The sequence below is a fragment of the Homo sapiens genome, chromosome X (assembly GCF_000001405.40).
Source record: "Homo sapiens chromosome X, GRCh38.p14 Primary Assembly".
Classification (NCBI taxonomy): domain Eukaryota; kingdom Metazoa; phylum Chordata; class Mammalia; order Primates; family Hominidae; genus Homo; species Homo sapiens.
In genome coordinates this window covers 15,941,492-15,952,057 of record NC_000023.11, presented here as the reverse complement: position 1 = coordinate 15,952,057, position 10,566 = coordinate 15,941,492, and the positions used below count along the sequence as shown (strand labels likewise).

At 40.8% G+C, this 10,566-nt stretch overlaps 1 annotated feature.

Moving 5' to 3' along the window:
* Nucleotides 8,817-9,024: a silencer, noted in NCBI's record as "fragment chrX:15961157-15961364 (GRCh37/hg19 assembly coordinates)". NCBI's record gives its function as "represses an EF-1alpha promoter that drives an FKBP-Casp9 reporter gene in an ReSE screen in K562 erythroleukemia cells {active_cell/tissue: K562}" and the evidence as "EXISTENCE:reporter gene assay evidence [ECO:0000049][PMID:32094911]".

Genomic DNA, 10,566 nt, shown 5'->3' with positions numbered 1-10,566 from the left:
GCTCTACAATATCTGGGGCCTCAGCTGAAAAGTTTCCAAGTCTGGGGGTGACTCAAAGACTAGAGTCGTCTTGAAGGCTTCCTCATTCACATGTCTGGTAGTTGAGGCTGACTGTTGGCTGGAACACTTACACATGGCTTCTCCATCTTTCCATGTGGTCTCTCCATGTGGACTAGTTTGAGCTTCTTCACAGCATGGTGGCTGGGCTCCAGGAGAGTAAGAGGTTCAGCAGATACTGAACTCTGTAAAAAAAACAAAAACAAAAACAAACAAAAAAAGAGAGCATGGCCAAGTGTATGGGATGTTTATGACCTATCTCAGAAGTCACATAGTGTCACTTTTGCCATACTTTAATGGTCAAGGCAGTCACAAAGGTTCACCTAGTTCAAGGAAAAGCGACATAGACCCCATAACCCAATGGGAGGAGTGTCAAGGTCACTTTAGAAGAAGAACTTGTGGGACAAGGGACATTATTGTGACCATCTTTGGAAAATACAACCCCTCATTTTGCGGCAAGTACAAAGTCAATGAAGTCATGTGGATTCTTAGGGGCTGGCTAGAGGAAAAAGAAAAAGAAAAATCAAGGATTTTCCCACAGTTAAAGTATGAGTGGAAAAAAGAATAACCACGAAAGAGAAGGCTTAAGTCAGAGCTACTTTGTGAGAATAATTAATTCAAGAGATTTTCCAAGGTGAGAGGATCACTTGAGGCCAGGAGTTTAAGAACAACCTGGGCAACATAGTAAGACCCCCATCTCTAGAAAAAATTGAAAATTAAAAAAAAAAAATTCGAAGATATTCCCAGTAGCCCTGCCATTTGAGTCTGGAGAATATCTGAATGAGTTTACTGGCAGAGATAAAGGAGCCAAGAGGAAGACTAAAGATAGAAAATTGAGGAGAGAAAATTAATAGGACACAATTCTGGAGGAGATGGATGTCACCAAATAGTCAGGCAGACGTTTAACTTCACAAAGAGAAACTTTATTTCTCTACAATAAGACAAAATAAAAGGAGAAGATGGAAGAAATAGAGTATAATTCTGAGATAAAGAATACATTTTGAAGTAGAGAGAGGGGAAAATGGCAGATCTCAAACTGAATACCCTGTTTTCTCAGAGAAGTTAAAGGTAAGAAAATCTATTGATATTAAGATGAGATGTCTTAAAGTCCATAAGAAATAGAAATGACTAGGTAAGAAATTGAATAGGTGAGTCACATATTTCTTATTTTTAAAAGAAGTTGAAAGATTGGCAAAATGATGATTGTTGTTGATGCTGGTGATGGATACATGGGGATTTATTACACTGTTCTAACTAATATTGTGTATGTTTGAAATTTTCATAATAAAATGTTTTAAAATTGTAAAAAAAATCTATTGAGTAATGTACTGATTATCTCTGTTTTTAAAAAATGAAACTAATAACCTTGCATTTTGATGTATGGTTTATCAATAAAAATGTTTCCCTTAGGCCAATGGTTCTAAATGGAGAAAGGATTTTCTATTTGTCTCATACCTATTACTGTCTTAAATAAATGTTCAATCAATTCAAATGAACCCATAAAATCCTCTGTCTAGTGCTTTTTAAAATCCTTGTCACAAAGCTTGGTCAAGTTCCGAAATAATTTTGCTTATTTCCCCTGATGGTACATTATGGCTTCTTGCTGAAGTAAAGTGTCTTTTTATTTCCTTTTTTTATTATTATTACTTAAAACAAGTTGGCTGCAGATTGGATCGTACCCAGTCTTTTCCACAGTGATGCCCAAGTAAAGAATATCATTGGGCTTCTAATACTGCTAAATTTCTTCCTGGCATTGGGAAAATATTGAGCTGGCAAAATAAATAGCTCAAATCTCAGAAACTTATTAGACTGATATGGACTCCTGTATGCTTCATAGCCCTAATCATCAACTCATTTATATTCTTTGGAATTGAGAGAAACATATTAAGGAAGGATATTCTTGCCCTGTACGAAATTGTCACAGTCAGCTAGCAAGAAAGATTGAAGACTGAAAAAATATCTTTCAAGCAGCCTCTTGGTTTCTTGAAGCATATCAGTGATACCCAGAATTCATCAAGTTCATGGTTCCACATCTTGGACTGCAGAAAGTGACTAGGCAATGTGCCTGAATCTGACCTTTAATCAATATCTCCTTTTCTGCATTACATTAGGCATAATGAATTGTCAGAAACAGCATGTGGCTCAAACCAATGTTATTCCAAGAAAATAGCTAGTGGGTTTTAGAAATTAGATGGCAAGCAACTCAAAACCTTCAGATAATTTTTTGAGATACTCTATCTTAAAAGTAGAGCAGCCTAGCTTTCCAGCTTTAGCTCTTGCCAAACCATCCATGTGGTGGCCAGGCTCCTGTTCAGTTAAGAGGCATTAGAATGAATGAAGAACATAAGGAATACAGTGGATGGAAATCCTGAACAGGATAGAGGGAAAGAGAAAGAAGGCCAAGGACATTCATGACAGGGAGTACTCAAAAGCATGAACTCAAGGTATGAGGAACAGAAGACACCATACAGCCCTTGCTGAAGGTTCAATAATTTCTTTCACATCAGGACAGCAATGCACACATAGGAAACAGGAAATTGTTCAGCCAGACATACTTTACTGGGCAAAATAATGTCTAACTAACTTCACTCTCAGTGATCTTTGACAGTAATTTGAGGAAGGCAAAGGGAAAATTACCAATATCAAATGACAGTACTGTCTGACACCATTCCTCCTTTGGCTGACATTAATCATGAATTGCTTTCCATAAAGTAATTTTTATTTAACAGAGAAAGAAAGCATATGCCACCTTATCTTAGTGTCTTAGTAAACAGTCGTTCTGGGATTCATTTGCATGGAATATAAACTATGTATGGAGCCCTGAACCTGATTTTGATGTTGAAAAAAAGTATAAAGAAGTGTAATATGTGACAAATCAGGGGAAAAGAGAGAGATTGAGAGTGAGACTGATGTGGGGCTGATGGTGATTTTTTTTCTAACTCCCCCTGCTTCATCAGTGGCTATAAATTATCAGCCGAATATACATAGACACTCTTAATGGCCAAAAAGAGTCAGCTCACAGTTCTGCCCTTGTCAAATCATCCAGAAGAAAGCCGTGCCCGTGGATAGGCACAGCCATGTCACATAGCTCCTGTACTCTCAGGGCCTGTGTGACACTGAACCATAGCCTTGGAAATGGCAGCAAGGTCTACTTTGGTCCAGATCCAAGCCCTGGCAGAGACTAAATCTTACATTAAAAGAGTGGGAAGTTGGTGCAGATAGTATTGCAAGACCAGTCTTTAGATAATTAGCCATTGTTAACTCAGGAAAACCAATTCTAGGCATTGAACATGAAGCCATATCTTGAAAGGTAAGTATAAGTTTTTAAAAAATAGGGATGGGCGGGGTCTCACTACGTTGACCAGGCTGGTCTCAAACTCCTGGAATCAAGCAATCCTCCCATCTCAGCCTCCCAAAGTGCTGGGATCACAGGCATGTGCCACCATGCCCAGCTGCAAGTATAACTTTTGTGCCCGGGCCTCCCCGACTGTGAGAGGCAGAGTAATGCCCCACCCAGTCCTGGAAAGATGCCCATGACCTAACATTGAGAACCTGTGAATATGTGACCTTACATGGCAAAAGGAATTTTGTTGATGTTATTAAATAAAGGATGTTGAGATGGAGAGATTATCCTGGATTACCTGTGTATGCCCAATGTATTCACAAGGGTCCTTGTAAAAGCGACACAAGAGGAGTCATAGTCAGAGAGAAGGAGATGTGATGACAGAGGTAGAGGAACAGAGAGAGATGGGAAGATGCTGCTCTGCTGGCTTTAAAGACAGAGGAAGGAACCAATGACTAAGGAATGCAGATGGCCTGTAGAAGCTGGAAAAGGCAAGGAAATGGATCCTCCTTCAGAGCACCCAGAAGGAATGCAGCCCTGCAAACCCATTTTGGACTTCTGACCTTCAGAACTGTAAGATAATAAATTTGTGTTGCTTTAAGCCACTCAGTTTGTGATAATTTGTTACAGCAGAAATTGGAAACTAATATGCCAACAGCCTATGCAGACAAGATAAGTTCCATTTACTCCTGCTCCCCAAGTTAGAATGATTTAAGTCCCATCTCACTTATCAGTAGGAGTCCAGGCTTTGTTGTGAATCCTCTTCACAAACAAAGGGGAAGGCTTACTCCCACAATCTGCCTTGGTTGTTTCCTGCTGACTCAATCCCCTCCTGGTTCCAGGCCACTCCTTCCCTCCACCCTGCTGCTGGCTACACTTCCTCCGGGACTCACTTTGCATTCCTGCTTCATTCCCTTGTATTGCTTTGCCCAAAGCATGATCCTGCTCATCCTCCTTAATTACCAGACTGAAATGCAAGGCTGTTGCCTGCAGTAATAAAAAATAAGAAGAAAGTAATAATAGGTAATAAAAAAAGAAAAGAATAATGAGTAATAATAAAACTACAAATTGAAGAATTTACAACTGTCTTGGGTTGGGTTTCAGAATTCTTGTGCCTGTGGTTTATTAGGGGAGAATGCTCAGGAGAAGAGTAGTGAGGAGAGCAAGATGAGGCAGGGGAAGAAAGTGAGCGATCATGGGCTGTCACTGGGAGTTCAGTTTCAACCTGATCCTGCAGAGCACTCTGAAGTATACATTGCACCAGAGGAGAGTAGCATTTTGAAGGCAAGGAGGCCAACATTTTGTACTGCTGTGTTAGTCACTGACCACAGCCTCTGGGGGGATGGGATGACATGGCATCCCAGATGAGGAGACTTCTATTATGCCCAGGGCAATTCTCCAGAGAAAGGCAGCTATGAGCTGTTAACAGGCAACACTCATAGCAGCTAAGGGACATGGCCCCTTAAAGGGGATCTGGATGGTAATCAAGCACATCCATTACAGTGACCTAAAACAGAGCTCACAGCTAGTCCCTGAAGAGCACCTCTGCCCCTCTCCCTGGCCTCAGCACTGGTTGAAAGAGTTCACCGTATTCTTCACTCCGCCTCCCCCCTACCCCCACCGCCTGCCTTTCCCCTTTCCTTTCCCTTTTCCTTTCCCTTTTCCTTTCCCCTTTCCTTTCCCCTTTCCTTTCCCCTTTCCGCCTTTTTTCCACTGCATCAGTAAAAATGTCCTGGAGCTGTCTCTTCCCTGGAGTCAGAGGTGCCAGAAGACCTTTCTATTTCTCCCTTAAAGACATCACCCAAAGATTGGGTTTCAGTTTGAGGATTTTCCAAGATGATTGACGACCCCCATTCCCCAATCTTGGTGCTAAGATTCCCAAGAAGACATTGGAACACAATAGCCCAACATCAGTACATTTTTCCAAGTCTGACAAAAAATTGAGTAATATGCATGTATGGCACCAACAGTCCAATCTATATTGAACCAAGGTGATTAGCTGAGCTCAATTCCCACAACCTTTCACTCCTTGAGAAGGTGAAGATTAGTCCTCCCTTTCATTCCCGCCATCCACAAACACCTCCATGAGAACAAGTAATAACATGTAGGTATTGAAATCTATAAATCCCTTCTTAGGGAAGAAACATCACCCAGAAGTGTTATTCACATTGCAGGTGGCAACCCATTAGTGGTGCTGAGAAAAAAAATAATGAAAAAGAGTAGAATAGAATATATCAGAGTTCATTTCAAATAATAAATGTACATATTATTTCACAGAACAAACATTTGTTTCAGTTATATCTATCATACATGTATATTCAAATATTTGTATGTTTTGAGTCATGCTGTATTTCTTACTATTGGCAGGAGTCAAAAAAAGTTGAGAAAAACCCCACTGATTTAAACACTTTTGACTACATGGATAACTGCTTTCATATACATCCAGCACAGTTTGGTTACTTGATGTCACTGGAGGCTCAGAAATCTCTATGTTCTGCTGTAGATCTTTGCTTCATGTCTAGGAAAGGGAAAAACCTGTTTGGGTATTTGTTTTATCCAAAACAAATGAACCTTCAACCCCATTCTGTATTCCAAAGGCGAACTGAACTCTACTTATCTAAGAAGCCAGCCTAAAGCTTTGAAATTATAACACTATGAAATGAAGTGGGTAGAACTGTGTCCCCTAAAAAGATATGTGCAAATCCTAACCACCAGTACCTGTGAATGTGACCTTATTTGGAAATAGGGTCTTTGCAGGCGTAATCAAGTTAAAATGAGGTCACACTGGATTGGAGCAGGGACCGATATCCTTATAGTAAGAGGAAAATTTGGAAACAAGAGACACCCAGGGTGAATGCCATACGACAACAGAGGCAGAGATTGGAGTGATGCACCTACAAGCCAAAGAATGCTAAGGATTGCTGGCAATCACCAGAAATTGGGACGTGGCAGGGAATGCTTCTTCTCTAGAGCCTTGAGAGACAGCATGGCCCTGTGGATACCTTGATTTTGGACTTCTGGCCTCCGGAACTGTGGAGGGAGTAAATTTCTGTTGTTTTAAGCTATCTAGTTTGTTATAGCAGCCCTAGAAAACTAATCATGAATTTTCCTGCTTCTACCCTAACCACTGAATTTTCAAAAACCTTGGGAAATATTTATATGTACTTGCTTGAATATTCATAAAACATTTCTGAAAAATAAAATAATCAAGAAACTGAACATTGTTGCCTTTGGGAAATGGAACTGGGTACCTGCAGAATGAGAGAGGGAGACTTTTTGCTATAATACTACTTTGAATTTAAACTATGTAATGTATGAATAAATAAAATCGAAATTTAGAAAATCTTAGGCAAAAACTCAACCTACCTAGCAATCTCCCCTTTCTCCCCAGGGATCACCAGTGACGGATGTCCATCCCATTTTTGTAAGCAAGAAGGTAAAATTGTAAGAAGATGGATCTCCCATCTTTTACAGAGGGTCCATGGTTCACAGCCATTTCTCTTTTGCACCAAAAACTTGGGAAGGCAAAATGTCTGGTCTTATCCCGAAAATCTTTAATCATCTGCCCCTTTCATTCAAGCTATTTGCTTGAGGATAAAAATGCTCATGAGGAAAAAAAAATGCTGAAAGCTGAGATAATGATCCTATCCATGATATTCCTTAATTACTGACTTAAATGAAGATCCATTGTCATATTTCCTCATTAAAAGACATATTTTATGAGCAGATACTTCTCACGGATGATTTAAGAAGAACAAACTCATCAGATAGTTTGAGACTGAATCCGAAAAGGTATGCATAGTTAATTATGTAATATGAAGTGTTGGACGAAATGGGCCCAAGGGTCTTTCAACATCAAAGCCTCTGGTGGAGAGGCACACAATGTAACACAGGCTAGTCTGTAAAACACTCCTGTAAGACAACTCTACACAGTTTCAGTGTTCAATGTATATTTCATGAATTGAATTAGAGTAAAAGCATAAAATAAAGAGCTAGAAGAGACTTTGGAATGATCAGGTGTGCTTCCCTGTAATGCTTTTAAAACAGGCACAGGTGTCTCTGGGCTGGAATGCTGACTTCACTTTTGCCATGCTTTTTCTATGCCACACTTTTGTCATCTGAAAAATGGGAAAAATAAGAATATCTGCCTTTTAGGGTTGTTGAAGAAGTTAAACAAGGTGAAGTATAGGTAGTAGATGTAACTGGCACCCTGCCCAGATCCCATTTACCAGGCAAGGGCACCAGTCTCCTAGCTGCCTTCCTCTGCAGAATTGTCCTGGGCTGATGGTAGCCAGCTCCCCCAGGAAGTTACCCCACCCCATGGCCCACAGTCAATGACTGACTAATACAGGGGCACAAAGGAGACCCCTCCCTTCAAGGCAGGGATACCTCCAAGGTGTGGTTTGTAGTCCAGAGCCTCTCTCTGAAGAAGTGAAAACACTCCTTTGTTCAGCTTCCACCAGCCCTATCCTATCCTGCTTCCTCCCTCCTTTACAAGTTCTTTCTGCAATACATCCTAAACACCTGACTTCCTGTTCCAGGCTCTGCTTCAAAGGAGTCTGACCTAAGAGAGTAGGTAAAGAGCTTCAAAATTAAGAGTATAAACAGTGAACCCATTTTAATTATTACTTAATCAGTCAAATTTAGGGCAAGCACAAAATCAAAAAACCTTTGACATACTCTAATCCAACCCAGAAGGTTGACAGAGGTAAAGTGGAGATGCAAAACGTGAAAAGAAACAAAATTATTTTGGTGACTTATTCCCAAAGTAACAATGAGATGAGCCAGGAGCCAGAAAGAACTAGATTAGCCCCACTTAGACTTTTAAGCAAGAATAGAGATCCTGTGGTGTAAAGGCTACCAGAGACAAGGTCCCCTAGCCCAAAACCCTCCTTATCACAGAGACTAAGCACAGTCGCTGCTTATCCCTGAGTAACGGGTTTCAGCTCCCTGCCAGACTGCAGAACTATTCAAGTGAACCAATCACATCCTCCCACAGGAACCAGGGACCACCTCACCCTCTTGATACTACAAACCCTGCCTCCCACAGCACCTGGTTGTTCACTCTGTGAATAACTCATGTAGCCCTACATGACATGTGGTAGCTTCCTCCCCCAGACTGGGAGTATGTGTAACTGATAAACTGTTGTCCATCTCAGCTGTCCAGTGTTTGGTGTTGTGTGTTCAGTCATTCACTTAACCCTAGGGCAGGAATCCCATCATCACCAACAGGGTAAAGAGGGGACAATCAAACAGACTATTATTATTTTTTTAAAAGATCATTATTAGGCTGGGCGCGGTGACTCATGCCTGTAATCCCAGCACTTTGGGTGGCCAAGGCAGGTAGATCATGAGGTCAGGAGGTCGAGACAAGCCTGGCCAGCATGGTGAAACCCCATCTCCACTAAAAATACAAAAATTAGCCGGGCATGGTGTCATGTGCCTGTAATCCCAGCTACTCAGGAGGCTGAGGTAGAAGAATCGCTTGACCCCAGGAGGCGGAGGTTGCAGTGAGCCGAGATCGCACCACTGCACCCCAGCCTCAGCGACAGAGCGAGACTCATTCTGAAAAAAATAAATAAATAAATAAATAAATCATTATTACCAGGGCTTGTAAGAGTTCTTAAAATTTTTTAACTTTTCCTTTATTTCGTTAAACTTGCCTATTTTCACATATGGAACTGAGAAAAGCCAACTGTGTTTGTATGCACACGTGCATGCACGCGTGTGTGCATGAAAGAAACAAGATTAGTAAAGAAGCTGGAAGACTGTCTTTCTATGTAGCAGGCACAGGAGAAAAGCTCTGTATAAGAGTTAGGAGTGAATAAGGCAGGGTTCAGCTTGGACCAGAGAGAGAGAGAGGAATAAATCAACATCATGTTGCTGAGACAAAGGTGTGGCCTCGGTAGAAGCATCACTGCTTACCTTTAGACAAGGGTGCTTCCCATTGGAACAAAAAACAAAAATCAGTGGGAAAAGATCAGAGCTCAAAGGTGAAGGAAATGAAAGCACTTGCACAGAAATGAAAAATGAATAAAGAGCGAGTTAAATCTCATTATTCTTCAAGGAATCCTAACACTGTGATTCTTATTTATGCAGAATTTGAGGACCGAGATTGGGTTTCTCACTAGTTTTAGCTAAGGTCATCAAAAATTTTAGCTACCTTTTAAGCATACAGTTCCCTTGACCTTGGATACTCAGCATAGTTATGAGATCACTGGTGACAAGTTGAAGGAGGTGCCCATTTTTAGAGCCTTATAGGGGAAGCTTTTCTGATAATCACCAAATCCCTTCTGGGCTTTTAATTCAATTCAACTCCATCAATATACACTGAGCACCTATATTATGTGGTACATTATATACAGTGTTTCTGCACATGTGCACCTGTGGCATATGAGAAAACCTGCCCTTTGAACATGTACACAGTTGATTGATGTGCATCCCAAAATTTAAGAAATAATATGTGAAAAGATGCAAAGGAGAAAAGTTGAAGCACTATCATTAAATTGCAAGATCACATAGATTGAGTCACACTATTAATGGACCAACGAGAAGGGCAGAAGCAGTTGAAAAAGAATGATACCTCCTGGGAGGTAGGGATGCTAACCTGAACTTTGAGGATGAGTAGGATTGAAATAGACATAGAAGGCATTCCACACATCCACACACTGATGGAGATGAGCATTTGATTCAGTAAATGTTCATTAATTACTAACCAAATGACAAACCTCATATCAAGCACACAGTGGTTGCCATTTTAATTTGGCTGACTCCCTATCTGAGGGAGACATTTTTAACTACAAATGACAAAAAAATCCAATTTAAACTCATTCAGATAAAAACCACAACTGAGTGGCCCCATATTATTTCTTGGTAATTAAATAATGAAATTTGACCTTGCAGCTCATGCAGTGCCACCACAGACCTGGTTTCCACTGGTATCTTCTCAGCATTCCATGGTGTTGGCACCATGTGCTTTCATACTGGTCCCTTGACTGGCCCTTCATTGTAGCAAAATGGTAGCTCAGGTCCAAGCCTTACATCTTCACACCAACTCACTAGGACAAGAGATGTCTCTTTCTACAGCCCCTGTCTATCTTTCAGCCCCATCTTGAATCATGTTCTCACTTGCTCTTTGCACCCAGCTCCATTGGCCTATTTCAAGT